The sequence below is a fragment of the Homo sapiens genome, chromosome 8, assembly GCF_000001405.40.
Source record: "Homo sapiens chromosome 8, GRCh38.p14 Primary Assembly".
NCBI classification, from domain to species: Eukaryota; Metazoa; Chordata; class Mammalia; order Primates; family Hominidae; genus Homo; species Homo sapiens.
The window spans coordinates 91,258,464-91,273,922 of NC_000008.11; the positions used below are offsets into that span (position 1 = coordinate 91,258,464).

General features: G+C 35.9%; 1 protein-coding gene and 1 long non-coding RNA gene across 5 annotated transcripts in view; both read left to right on the forward strand.

Moving 5' to 3' along the window:
* The window catches only part of SLC26A7 (solute carrier family 26 member 7), a 188,660-nt gene that overhangs the window by 48,968 nt on the left and 124,233 nt on the right, over positions 1 to 15,459 (forward strand). The gene's annotated exons all lie outside the window — the stretch shown is intronic.
* LOC105375637 (uncharacterized) lies at positions 1,942 to 5,486 on the forward strand. Its single transcript, XR_928403.2, has 2 exons — positions 1,942 to 3,714; positions 3,982 to 5,486. It is a non-coding gene; the product is annotated as an uncharacterized LOC105375637 (long non-coding RNA).

Consider the following 15,459-nt stretch of genomic DNA (forward strand, 5'->3'; position numbering starts at 1 on the left):
AACAACTATATTCAATTAACCAAGTTCTGTAAATTCTTCCCTCTTAATGTCTGTCTAATACACCTGATGCCCATTGTCCTCATGGCCACTTCCCTGACAGTACTAGATACAACCAACAATTGCTAAATGTTTAAAGTGTGCCATAAACTGTGCTAAGGATTCATTGTCTATTATATCAATTAATCTTCATAATGACCCTAAGAGTTTGATACTGTTATCTGTATTTAACAGATGAAGGAAAGTAGATTAATTTGCTAAGGTAATCCAGTTAGCATAAGGCAGAAGGAGTGTTTAAATGCAGATCTTTCTGACTCCTGAGCCCGTGCTTCTACCTTAAGAGCCACCAAAATTTACCCTGCTAGTTAGGATGTCTCTCACATACAGTTTTGTCCCTCTATTCTCTATCTTAAACTCCAACAAAACTAAATTTTGAGTTAGGTAGTGGAAACCTTGTTCTTAAAATTCCTTCAGCAACACTGCAAATACCTTTTTACCTGCTCGTTCGCTCTGTGTTGTTCCCTTGCTTCACATGATCTCCTTGGCCTCTCTCACTTTCCTTACTGTCTTTTCTCATCCCTTTCTATTTCTAGCTCCTTCCTGAAACTCCAAATACTACCCCTGGGACTGAAACCACAGGCGTGCATTGATTGGCCTCTACAGCATTGGGAATCAATGTTTAAATACCAGAAGACTTAATTTTAAAATGGAAGGCTTTCCCTCCTTTCATTCAAATATAGTCATCTAATCACACAGGTTCCATATTCCCAAATGGCAACAATAGGCTGAAGTTGACTTTTGCCTGCACCCTTTATATGGACATGGACTTTCTAATTTGCCATACCCTTCCACACTCCTGTTCTTTTGTACATCATCACTACTTAACACCTGCTGTTTTATTCTGCTCAGCTCTAGAACAGATGTTCTCAAACTCAGCTCAAGGACAACATGACTGGCCAAGGTCATCAAAGCATTTAGAATAACAAGGTATTTAATATAAAAGTAAACAACACCTAGAAGGCAGTTATGGCTATAAATTGCCAACTTTCCTCTCATTGCACAGGATTAGACTTCTGAGAATGCTTTTCAAGGCCCTTCAATATCTGAATCTCACCTTTCCAGCCACACCTTTTTTATGTTCCCTTCAGCATCATATGCTCTGCCTATATTGGACCGCACTTAGTATTCTAAAGGATCATGCTTCTTTGCCTCAGGACATTTGCACATGGTATTTCCTCTAAAATGAATAATATTCCCCTGCCTTGTCCCTTTCACCTGATTATAACCTACCATATTTCAGGAATGGGTTTAGTTCAGTAATTCTCAACCATGGCTACATATTACAGTCTCTTGTGGCACTGAAAAGAATACTCATGTCCAATCTCCACCCTAGATTAATTAAATCAGAATCTCTGGATAATTTAGGGCAAATAATTTTATGTTCTGTGTCTTGGCTTACTCAACTAATGAAAAAATAAATAAAAATGAGCAGCCAGGGTTGAGAACTATAGGCTTTCAGAAAGCACTGTTGATACCTCTATTTTGTTTTTCCATGGTACTTATATCCTTTACTAACTTTATAGCATTTATTTTTGATTCATATTTGATTGAGCACTGTATTAGTCCATTTTAACACTGCTGTAAAGAAATACCTGAGACTGGGTAATTTATAAAGGAAAGAGGTTTAATTGACTCACAGTTCCATATGGCTGGGGAGGCCTCAGAAAACTTATAGTCATGGCAGAAGGTAAAACAAGCACCTTCTTCACAAGGCAGCAGGAGAGAGAAGAGAGCAAGGGAAACTGCTATTTATAAAACCATCAGATCTTGTGAGAACTCACTCACTATCACGAGAACGTCATGGGACAAACCACCACCGTGATCTAATCACCTCCTACCATATCCCTCCCTTGACACATGTCGATTATGGAGATTACAATTTGAGATGAGATTTAGGTGGGGACACAGAGCTAAACCATATCAATTGCCTAAGCCATACGTTCCTTGAGGGCAGAGATTATTTACAGCCTAGGAAGACCAATCACCTTGGCTTTAGCACTGAAAGTCCTGAGTTCCAGGAAACACTTTCAGCTCCTATCCCCAGTATTTGGCACAGTGTAAGTACTAAAATATTTGTTGACAGTGAACAATCATAATTGAGATAGATGGATGGGGTTTTCCTAGGCCCATGCTCCTTCTGGTGGCTCCTCTCTTCATGGGAACTTTGTCTTTCTGTTTCTATTATTTAAGCTCTTAGGTCTGTTGGACTTGGGGTTTCTTGATCATAGTGATTCTTCGTGTTCATGCTTGTGAGACCTCACCTGTGTAGCAAGTCACAGGAGGAAGGTATGATGTGATTGGCCTCAACCTCTCTAATGATTAGAAATACTGACCTTAGAGTAATAATGGTTGTCTGTGGACCAAAAGAATGTGTGTTTATAGAAATTTGTTTTCACACAATTATGGTTGTTGAATATATGTAAATTTACCCCAGGAGACTCACTTGTAATAACGCTTAACCCTAATCCTGCTGATATTGTAAACTAGACAGCTGGTTATACTGTGGTTTGCTAATAACTATTCTAAGACCACCACAAACCAGTTACCACAGGGAAATAACTTTCATCGTTGCCCACACAATTTGGGTTGGATTTTTTATGTGTAATTCTTGGAAGTGCTTACCACCACCTAATTATTTTGTTTTTAAGAATACTAATCCATCTTGCTAGGATTCTTTATTCATTTCTATTCAAAAAATATTTGAAAGAATACAGCCTTTTGCTATGTTCTTGGAAAGCGATAGAGGAGTATAAGACAACAATCCAGCCCACAAGGGGCTTATTATTTTTTCTGTCTTCAGAAATGCGTACAAAAGTATATGAGAATATGATCTTGTTATTTTAACCTTGAATATATCATTCTGGTGTGGGTATTTAAGGGTGGGAACATTTTCTTAATGAAAGTTTGTGGAGTATTGGTTTCAGCCACTTTTTGCCTTGAGTAGATTGTATAACCCAGGGAGTCGCCAAAGAATTCTGTGTTTTTATTTAGGAACATGAAGATTAGTACAATCCCATCTATATAACATAACATGAAATGATGATTTGGTGGTAAAAATTGGATCAACAAACTGGCAGTCTTAAAAAGCTATCAAGGTTTGATTTGCTACTGATCTATATTATATGATGTAGAATTTTAAGAAATCAGGTTCTGCTAATCACTCCTTCCCTGGAAAGGATCTCAAGGGAACTGTACACACAGGTAACATCTAGGGAAGGGCAACCATTGTCCCACTTAATCAGCTGAGTTAGTGTGCAAAGCATAGCTCCAGCAAAACTGGAGTGGAACAAAGCAGTTTTGACCTGATATCCAAGAGGAGTTTCTTTCTTTCTTTTAAAGCTAAGGTTTGGATGGACTTGTGGGGAAAAGAAAGAGAAACTTAGAGCTTACCTTGAGGCAGGCCCTGGTCCTTTTATTAGCCAGTAGCATGGATTAGGAAATAGTAGAAGAGAGTAAAACGTACCATTGGACGTGAACTCCTCCTACCAGGAAATGTATCCTCTTCAGAGTGTTCAACTTTGACCCTTCCACTTAGCAGCATTCCTCTTGGAGGAGGTGGTAGACAGAAGAGGTCTGAGAATTTCTGCTCTACAGCTTGAGCTGAGGTTGTGGCACTGCGCCTGGAGATGGCTGGATAGAATCAAGACATTGCCAAAGGTAGGATTTAGGTCCGGTTTGAGGAGTTTAGCTAAGACATATAAACTCAGCCTGGTGAGGGTAAAGTTTAGCACTTGAATGTCAACCTGTAGGACTGGTTGACACAAAAAGTAAAACTGGGGAATCAAGTATCTGACGTTTAGGCAAAATGGAGAAACTAGTCAGGATTAGAACCTGGGGCCAAAGTTCTGGGTAGAAAGGAGTCTGAATTACAATCTAGGAAGCCAACAGCAATGATAGATCTGTGTTTTCTAATTTTCTACCCAGCGTCTGAGCAGTCTTCAGATTTTGGTGGGTAAACCTGAGCCCATGGAAGACAGTGAGAAGATGCACCTGGCTGACAAGAGAAGTAAGGGAAGAAGGCATCAGCCAGCATCATGGAAGGTCATGTGTTGGTGTCCCCCGTCCTCGCATTAGAATATCAGGTTGGCCTCTTGGCCTCTTGTGGACTATTGTAGGCCCACAAGAATAGGAGTTATTTGACTTTTTTTTTTCTCCTGAATATGGAGGGTCAAGTGATTACCACAATCTCAGCTTTTTATGCTCTTTAGTTTTGAAGAGGGAGTTTTATTGATATTGACTTTAAGAATTACCTCTATTAAAAATTTGTGGACTATAAAATGTTTAATATTTTGGTAATGCACTCATAAATCTTGAAGGTTGTTGAATAAAGTGCTTAATTTCATAAATATTTTAACAATTATTAATATAAAATCAATATTTCAGCATTTAATAAGTAAACAAACCATTATTTAGGATAATTCTAAATAATTGTTAATAATGTAACCATGTACCACTATGCATAAATCTTACCTTGTGTGCTGTGAATCTCTTTAACTTACAAACATTATCTGTATTAAAACCAATTCTATCTCAAGGTTTTTCAATTGCAACAAAGTGATTGGTAGTAATTTTAGGACTACAATTTTACAGAAAGGAAATTGGCTCTGAAAGGTAATTCTCTGGTCCTAATTAGATTCATAATATATGCATCTCAGCTAAAAGTTATTTCAGTTCTGCAAGTCTCTGAAGTAAAAACTGAACTATAAAGGGACAACCATCAGGCAGATATGGATGATATTGGAAGGCAGATATTGGAAATCTGTTATAATGGTTTTTTTTGTACTCATCATTTTTGCTGCTATTTATGACCATGCTGCCTTGACTTTATAGCCTTGGTTCTTTATATTAATCATAGATACAAGCACTTGCAACATTGTATCATTTAATTTAGAAAACTGAATAGGGAATTTCAGTTTATCCTTCTTGACTGAAAGCAACTATAAGTGCAAATTTCTCCCTTTACTATGGCATTTAAATCTTGAAGATGCCATCTTAAGAGAATGATAATTATATCCAAACCTATACAAATGCTGACATTTATTTAACTCTTTCTTTGTGCTTGCCCTGTGTTGGGCCATAAGCTCCCTTTCTTCTGGGCTTTGCCTGGAATATTCTCTTAGTTCCCTTCTTTCCTTCCTATCACCTTTGCAAGGTTCCTCGTGTAAGACTTAAACAACACTACCCTAATCCTTCTGAAATGGATTAAGTCTCTTATGTGATCCTGTAACTTCCAATACTTCTTTCTTTCTAAAAACTTCACATGTAAATATTTATTTACTCTGGGTTTTTCATGTTAAACTCTGAGATCTGTAGGTGCAGGGATAATATCGTGTCTACTTCATTTATCACTTAATTTCTTGTAACTGGTTAAGTGATGAGCACAAAGGAGTTGTTCAATAAATATTAGTTGAATAAAAGAATCATATTGATAGGGATTATCATTCCATTTTTTTTTAACAGTAGAAGACTGAAGTTCAGAGAGGTTAAATAACTTGTATAAGGTCTCAGCCAAAAAGAGATGAAATTGAGATCCAAATCCATGTTGCTCCGCTTTCCTAAATGTTACTACCTCTAAGGCTGGTCCAGAGGACAGCTAGTTAGTGCCAGATGCATTGGGCTTTGCGCTGCAAGACCAAGTAAAATAACATATAGGAATCCACCTATCACAGGAAAAGTTCCTGCCTGCTGAGACTCATGCATCTACAGCTTTCCTTGGAATTGAAACACATGTCTCCAACAAGCTCAAGCAAACTAATTCTAACATTGTCCCCCAGAATCACTGGGAGAAAAATCAGAATCATTTAATTGAAGCACTCCTAAATGCTACATACAAGGAGGGAGGCTATGGTGTCAGCACAGATGTATCCCTGGATAGACGATGGCCTTGCCAGCCTGACACTTCAAAACAAAATAGGAACTTCATGGGAACCTGCAGAATAGAAGCTAGGGAAAAAGAATAAACCTGGAAAACCAAAATGCTACTCAATCCACTCCTTATACCTGAGCCTCCTGGAAGGTCACCACACTAGATTTGCCTCCAGTCTCTCCCCAGTCCTCCCCATGATGTTGTTTCTATTGTTGATAGCTCTGTATTACAGGTCACTTAATCTCCCAGACTAGCCCACTCTTGGATTCAGACACTTCCAAATTGCTTCTTTAAGAGTGTTTACTTTCATGGTTTCCCAAACCTCATTAAGTACAGATGTTCAGGAGGTTACTTGCCAAAAATTTTTTTTTGTTTATAATTGACACATAATTGTACATGTTTATGCAGTACAGTGTGAGGTTTTAATATATATAAACATTGAATAATGATCAAATCAAGGTAGTTATCATGTCTATCACTTCAGATCTTCATCATTTTTTTGTGGTAATAACTTTCAGAATCTTCTTTTCTAGCTGTCTTGAAATATACAATATATTTTATTAGCTGCATGCTACTATGTAATTGAACACCAAAATTTATTCTCCTATCTAACTGTAACTTTGTGCCCATTGGGTAATTTCTCCCCACTCCCTCTCCCCCATCCCCTTCACAGCCTCTACTAACCACTATTTTACTCTCTACTTCTATGAGATAAACCTTTTTAGATTCTGCATGTAAGTGAGATTATGCGGTATTTGTCTTTCTGTGTCTGGCTTATTTTACTTAACGTAATGTCCTCCAGGTTCATCCATGTTTGTACAAATGACAGGATTTTATTCTAGTTTTATAGCTGAATAGAATTCCATGGTTTATACTGCAGTTTCTTTATTCATTTGTCTGTTGATAAATACTTAGATTGATTTCATCTCTTGGCTATTGTGGATAGTGCTACAATAAACATGGGAATGCAGATCTCTCTTCAACATACTGCTTTCAATTCCTTTGGATATATACCCAGTAGTGGAATTGGTGGATCATATGGTAGTTCTATTTTTAATTTTCTGAGGAAGCTCCATACAATTTTCCATAATGGCTATGCTAATTTACTTTCCCACCAACAGTATATAAGAATTTCCCTCTTTCTGCATCCTCACTAGCATTTGTTATTGATTTATTTTTTGTCATTTTGATGATAGACATCCTAATTCAGGTGAGGTGCATCATTGTGGTTTTGATTTACATTTCCCTGAAAATCACTGATGTTGAGCATTTTGTCATATACCTGCTGGCCATTTGTATGTCTTTGAAAAAATGTTTATTTAGGCTTTTTGCTTATTTATTGATGGGATTATTTGGATTTTCTTTGTGGGGTGTGTGTGTGCGCACGCGCCTTTCTAGTTTTTTTGGTTTTTGCTATTGAGTTGTTTGAGTTCCTTCTATATTCCGAATATTAACTTCTAGTTAGATGCATACTTTGCAAATTCTCCCATTCTGTAGGTTGTCTCTTCACTCTGTTGGTTGTTTCCTTTGCTATGCAGAAGCTTTTTAGTTTGATAGAATCCCATTAATCTATTTTTGCTTTTGTTGCCTGTGCTTTTGAGATCCTATCCAAAAAGTCCTTGCTCAGACCAATGTCCTGAAGCATTTTATTTATGATTTTTTTTAGTGGTTACGTAGTTTTGGGTATTACATTTAAGTCGTTAATTCATTTTGAGTTGATTTTTGTATATTATGTTGTTTTGGTTAGTATGGCTCTGTAGTATATTTTGAAGTTAGGTAGTGTAATGCCTCCAGCTTTGTTCTTTTTGCTCAAGATTGCTTTGGCTATTCAAGGTCTTTTATGATTCCATACACATTTTAGGCTTTTTTTTCTATTTATGTGAAGAATGTCATTGATATTTTGATAGGGATTGCATTTAATCTGTAGATTTCTTTGGATAGTATGGACATTTTAATGATATTAATTATTCCAATTTATGAACATGGGATGCCTTTTATTTGGGTCTTCTTCAATTTATTTAATCTATGTTCTATAGTTTTTGTTGTAGAGATCTTTCCCATCCTTGGTTATATTTATTCCTAGGTATTTTATTTTATTTTTGTAGCCATTGTAAATGAGATTGCCTTCTTGAATTCTTTTTTGTGTAATTCATTTGTAGCATATAAAATGCTTTTGGTTTTTTTGATTGATGTATATTGATTTTGTATCCTGAAACTTCCCTGAATTCATTTATTAGTTCTAACAATTTTGTGGTGGAGACTTTAGGATTTTCTAGATATATAATCATGTCATGTGCAAATAGGGGCAATTTGACTCCCTCCTTTCCAATTTGAATGCCCTTTATTTGTTTCTCTTGCCTCATTGCTCTAGCTAGGGCTATCAGTACTGTGTTGAATAAAAGTGAAAATGGACATCCTTGTCTTGTTCCAGATTTTTGAGGAAAAGTTTTCAACTTTTGCCCATTCAGTGTGATGTTAGTTGTGGGCCTGTGATATATGGCCTTTATTGTGTTGAGGTATATTCCTTCCATATCTAAATTGTTGAGAGTTTTTGTCATGAAGCGACATTGAATTTTATCAAATACTTTTTCTTCATCTTTGAAACGATCATATGGATATTTTTCTTGATTCTCTTAATGTGATGTATTATGTCTACTGGTTGGTGTATTCTCAACCTTCCTTGTGTCCCTGGGATGAATCCTAACTGATCATCGTGAATGATTTTTCTTTTTTGTGTGTGTTGTTGAATTCAGTTTACTAATATTTTGTTGAGGATTTTTCGTACTTAACTCCATTAGGCATATTGACATTCCCCCCACCTCTTTTTGTTGTTGTTGTTGTTGTGTCTTTATCTTATTTTGGTATCAGGGTAATGCTAGCCTCATAGAATGAGTTTGGCAGTATTCTCTCCTCTTCAACTGTTTTGGAAGACTTTGAGAAGAATTGACATTAGTTTTTCTTTAAATGTTCGATAGAATTCAGCAGTGAAGCCATCAGATTCTTGGCTTTTCTTTGATGAGAAGAGTTTTTATTATTGCCTTAATTCCATTACTAATTATTGGTCTGTTCAGGTTTTCTATTTCTTCATGATTCAATCTTGGTAGGTCCTATGTGTTCAGACATTTATCCATTTCTTCCAGATTTCCCAATTCATTGGTCAATAGTTGTTCACAATAGTCTTTTATGACCTTTTGTATTTCTGTGGTATCAATTGTAATATCTCCTTTTTAATATCTGATTTTATTTGAGTTGTTTCTCCTTTCTGCTTGGTTAATCTAGCTAAAGGTTTGTTAATTTTGTCTATCTTTAAGAAATACCCAACCCTTTTTTTCTTGATCTTTCATATTTTAAAAAATCTATTTTAAAAAAATATTTCTGTTCTGATCTTTGTTATTTCCTTTTACTAATTAGTGGGTTAGCTGTTTTTCTAGTTTGTTGAGGTATAACATTAGGTTGTTTACTAGAGATCTTTTTACTTCTTGAATGTAGGGATTTATTGCTATAAACTTCTCTCTTAGAACTGCTTTTGCTGTATCCTACAGGTTTTGGTATGTTGTGCTTCCATTTTCATTTGTGTTAAGGAATTTTTAATTACCTTTTAAATTTCTTCATTGATGCATTATTATTCAGGAGAATGTTGTTTAATTTCCATGTATTTCTACAGTTTCCAATATTCCTTCTGACACTGACTTCTATTTTTATTTCATTTAGGTCAGAAAAGGTACTTGATATGATTTCATTTTTAAAATTTTATGAAGACTTGTTTTCTGAACTAATATATGGTCTTTCCTGGAGAATGTTCCATTTTCTGTTGAGAAGATCTGTCCATTGCTAAAAGTGAGGTGTTAAAGTCCCCTACTATTACTGTATTGCAACTGATCTCTCCCTTTAGATTTATTAATATTTGATTTATATATTTGGGTGCTCCAGTATTGGGTGTATATATATTTGAAAAGGTTATAGCCTCTTGGTATATTGACCCGTTTATCATTGTATAATGTCCTTATTTGTCTTTTTTAAACCATTCTTGACATAATGCCTATTTTATTTAAAATAAGTATAGCTACTCCTGCTTGGTTTTGGTTTCCATTTGCATAGAATCTTTTTCTATCTCTTCGCTTTCAGTCTATGTGTCCCTTTAGAGATGAAGTGGGTTTTTTGTAGGCAGGATATAGTTGGACCTTATTTTATTTTAATTCATTCAGCCATATTCAAAGTGTCACTGATAGTGACACACTGTCTGTGTGTCTTTTCATTGAATAATTTAATCCATTTGCATTTAATGTTATTATTGATAGGTAAGGATTTACTACTGTCATTTTGTTTCTTGTTTCTGGTTGTTTTGTAGTTTCTTTTTTCCCTTTTTCCTCTCTTACTGTCTTCATTTGTGGTTAAGTGACTTTCTCTAGTAAAGAGAAAGTCTGTTCTGCTTCTGTGCTATTTATTTTTAGTGTATCCATTATAGATTTTTTTGTGGTTATTATGAGGCTTACAAAAATTTTTATAGTTATAACAGGCTATTTTAAACTGATACCAACTTAATCTTGATCACAAAACAAAAAAAAAACTAACAAAAACAAACTTTGTACTTTTATACCAATTCCTCCCATTTTGACTTTTTGATGTTTCAACTTACGTATTTTATGTTGCCCATTTCTTAACCCATTGTTGTAGTCATTATTGTCTTTAATAGTTTTGTTTTTTAGTTTTCATACTAAAGATATAAGTGGTTTATACACCACAATTACAGTATTAGAGTATTCTAAAATTTTTTGTATGCTCACTTTTACCAGTGAGTTTTATACTTTTTGAAGTTTTTTTGTTACATGTCAGCATACTTTTCTTTTAGCTTAAAGAACTTTCTTTAGCATTTTATGTAAGGCAGGTTTGGTACTGATGAATTTCCTCATCTTGTTTGTGTGGTAGTCTTGATCTCTCCTTCACATTTGAAGGTTAACTTCGCTTAGTACATATATTGGTGTGGTATTCTTAGACATAGTGTTCTTGGATAACAGTTTTTGTTGTTGTTGTTGTTTTCCCTTAGCACTTTGAATATACCATTCTACTGTCTCCTGCCTTGTAGGGTTTCTGCTAATAAATTTTTTGAAAGCCATATTGAGACTCTGTTCAATGTGATATATTTCTTTTGCTACTTTGAGTATTCTTTATTTGTATTTGGTTTTTGCTAATTTGACCATAATTCGCCTTGGGAATTTTCTCTTTGGATTGAATTTTATTGGTTACTTCCAAGGTTCCCGTTCCTGGATGCTGCCATCTTTCTCCTGAATTGAGAAATTTTCAGCCATTAATTTCTTAAATATGCCTTCCAGTCCTTTTTCTCTCTTTTTTAAGTGTTCCTAGTAAGTGGAGATTAGTTCACTTAATGGTGTCCCATTTTCCTTTTTCTCTTTTGATTGGGTGATTTCATATGTTCTATGTTTGAGCTCGCTTAGTCTTTCCTCTGTTTCATCAAATCTACTGTGGAAGCTTTGTACTGAGATTTTCAGCTTAGTTATTGTATTTTTATTTCAAGGATTTCTCTTTTTTTAAATTGTTTGTATTTATTTGCCAAATTTCTCATTTTCTTCCTGGATTGTTTTATAAATTTAATTTTTTATACTTTTTTGTGATTTTTCTAAAATCTTAAAAAAGTATTATTCTGAATTCTTTGTCAGCCATTTCATAGATTGTCAATTCTTCTTGGTCCATTATTGGAGCTCTGTTGGTTTCTTTTTGTGGTCTTATATTTCTGTGAGTTTTCACAATCCTTGTATCTTTACACTGATTCCTGCACATTTGAGAAGATAACCACTTCTTCCAGCTTTTGGAGGTACTCTTTGGTGGTACTAGACCTTTACTACTTAATATTGGAACTTAATCGCAGGCCTGCTATTCCTTTCCATTCTGGGGAGAACTTGTAGTGAGCACCAGAACTTAAATGCTGCACCCAAACTAAATCACTGCTTGCCGTTGTTTCCTGGTCTGGGGAAAATTTACTGTGATCATTGGAACTTAAACACTGCACTAGAACCAAAACACAGAGCTGCAGTGCTTTCCAGGCCTGGGAAAGACTTAAAGGAGCACCAGCACTTAATTGCCAGGGTTTTAGTTGTTTCCAGGACAGGGGACAGCTCCACTTGAGCACCAGAGATTTGTGATAAATCCAGCCAGGGTTTCAGGCCTCAGGTGGTTATTTTTTAAAGCTCTCAATGAACACATACTCTTGCCACCCACCAATCTCTGGCAGCCATTGACCAAGTGAAATAGGTAAGCTGAGTACTTCAGGTGTCTCTCTAAGGGATATCTCTTACAGAGGAAGTTACTAGGAACATTCTGAGAAATTCAAATTTCTATGAATTGAGTTCTTTTCCTTGGTCAAATAAATTGTTCTTTTCGCTAGTTTTTAGGACTTTTACCCTCAAGATCCCCCTGAATTTACCAGCATCATCTTAACTTGGTAGTAGGTTAAAATAGGACTGTATTACTGGTTATCCAAGAGGTTTCTAAAGTACCAAGGATCTTGGTAAGGTTTCTGCTAACCAGCACCACTGTCTGCAAGTACCATCAAGAAGAAAATCTGATAATGGCTCTTCTCTGTCAAGATCTGAACCACTCAATTCTGCTGTAGTCATAATGACTGTTTCCCCAGTCCACTATAACTAAGGTATTATAATTTATCTTGCTTTATACTAGTAGCTTTACCTGTTCTTGCATGTGTACTTCTCATCTTTAAGACAATGCCCAAATATTATTTTTCTCACTGGAGCCTACCCCAACCATTCCATTTCACATTTCCTCCCTTCCATGCTCTCCAAACTTTCCTAATGTCTTTTATTCTGCTCTGATTTGTCGTTTTTATAGCACTAAATAATTTATATATTTTATGTCAATTGTTTATTGTTGTATGCTGCATATTCTCTTGTATACACCATGAAAGCAGGGATTGTAGCCTATTTTTTAAAAAAGATTTATCCTAAGTGGCTAGAGCAGTGCTGGAAAATAGTAGATAATTCTACTAATGCTTGTTAAATGAATAAATATTATTTTAGCTGCTTCTTACTAAGCTCAGACAACTTGGAGACCACCATTTTCTTATATACTTTCTTCATCTGAATGCAAAGTTAGAGATAAAGAACCAAAGTATGTGGGGAGGAAAATTCTTGTCCTCTGCTGCTTCCAGGCTCGGGGGTGGTCTAGAGAAATCTTTTTTTTTTTTTTTTTTTTTTGAGACGGAGTCTCGCTCTGTCGCCCAGGCTGGAATGCAGTGGCGTGATCTTGGCTCACTGGAAGTTCTGCCTCCCGGGTTCACCCCATTCTCCTTCCTCAGCCTCCCGAGTAGCTGGGACTACAGGCGCCTGCCACCATGCCCGGCTAATTTTTTGTATTTTTAGTAGAGCTGGGGTTTCACCGTATTAGCCAGGATGGTCTCGATCTCCTGACCTTGTGATCCGCCTGCCTCGGCCTCTCAAAGTGTTGGGATTACAGGCGTGAGCCACAGCGCCCGGCCGAGAAATCTTATAGAAAGTTAGTCCTTCACAAAAACACTGAAACATGCCAGGGGATAATTACTGTTTACCTTTACCTAGTTATGGGTGTTCATGGGGAAAGAGTGTCAGGATCTACAAGAAGCTTTTGTGCTTAGTACTTCCTAAAAAACTAGCCTTTAACACTGTTGGGTTGTTACTGGCCTCTGTAATGAACTTCTTAGTTTGATTCTATGTCTCATTCACAGTCCTATTGATGATGACTGCTTGGCCTTGCTTACCCTTTCATCTACCTGATAGTCAGGACCTTCCTTTTGTCTTTGATCCTTTGCTTCTCTCCTCATATTATCTGTTACTCTAGGTGAATATATAATTTTCAGAATCCTTTCTGTGTTCACCTGGGCTTCATGGAAGAGACCCTGGTACTTTGCTTGATATACAATAGTTTACTGATAAATTGAAGTAATTCTTAGTATAATATTCCTTAATAATAGATGTTTGCAATCTAAATGGACCCCTGGACACAAAAGCAACCAATTAAAATCATTTTGGTAGATACTGCAAATGCAGAACATATAGCATGAACTAACATCATTAAAAGCACGATCAACTCTTCCTGGAATGGGGATGAAGTTGTTAGTCAGCAAAAGTTTCAAGAGAAAATTACGTTTTTACCTGATCTTGAAGGCTACATAAAAGTTTACTAGATACCACTGACGAAGGGCACTATAGACAAAGGAAAAACGTATGCAGTGACAAGAAGAATGAAAGTTTGTTTAAATACTTTCTAATAATATAATTTGGTGAGAATTGAAACTGGAGAATTTAACATAGTCTAGGTCATAAAAGGCTTGTATGACACAGAAAAAGAGTTTGGGTTGATTTTAGAAGGCGATGGAGAGCCATTGGTGGATCTTAAGGAGGGCTATGGAGGGACATGTGTTTTACAATAATTTCTGTGGCAGCAGCTTACATTACATGCTTGGAAGAGGCAAGAGGCTAGTTAGGAGAGACTAGTTAGGAGAAATTATCTCTGGAAAATAAAGCATGTTATCTGAACAGACAAAGGCAGAAATAGTGGCAGTAGGAATAGAAAAGAGGGACAAATTCCATCCATATTAAGTGGAATAGATAAGTTTAGATCAGTGTTTTATGTAATATAAGGGTGAAAAAAAGAGTCTATTTTGATGACTTCCAGGTTTCTTAATTGGGTGACTGGATGGGTGGTGATGCCATTTTCTGAGATAGAGCATAAATAAACAAAACAACCAGTGTTTGTTTTTGTTTTGTTTTTAATGCATATTGTTTTGTTGTTATGGAGGGGTTGGTGGTGAGAGGGACCAAAATAAACAATTTCCATTTTGTATTTGTTATATAAGTGCCTACAGGACCTCTTGTTATCCATTTGGGTCTAGACCTTAGGAAGGATATCATAAAGATGTATATATTGTGGTCATGGTATGGGATTGGATCAGATAATTAATGGATAGTTTGTAGAATAGAAAGAGAAATTAGGATGGAAGTAACCTTGGGAATGCTGACATTTAAGAGTGGTAAGAGCTAGAAGAGCGAGGTGAGAAGATATGGTCTGTGAATATCAGGGTGCTCTGGGAGGCAAGTGCTAAAATAGTTTAAACAAAGGTATTGACAGGGCCAAATGTAGCAAACTTAAAATGTATATATGAGACATACAGTTCTCAGGACAGAAAAAATTAATGATTAGAAACTCAAAGAGTGAAATTCAATAAGAATATAACACTGGAAAATATGCTTAGTGACAAAATCAGATACAACCAAATAACTTCGTGACTTTTCAGGAAGGTAGGCAACTTGGAAAGGCCATCATTTGTGAAAGTTTGTTCATCCTTCAACCCCCACTTCAAGTCTTATCTTCCGATAACACTTTTTTGTGATTATGTTTCTCATAATTTTTCTACTTTCTCTGAATTTTGGTTACATTAATTATCCTATAAATTGCACATATAATTGTTGAATGTTGGATGAAACTTTGTGTTAGTTGAGGACCTTGTAATTCATATCTTATGTCCCTTT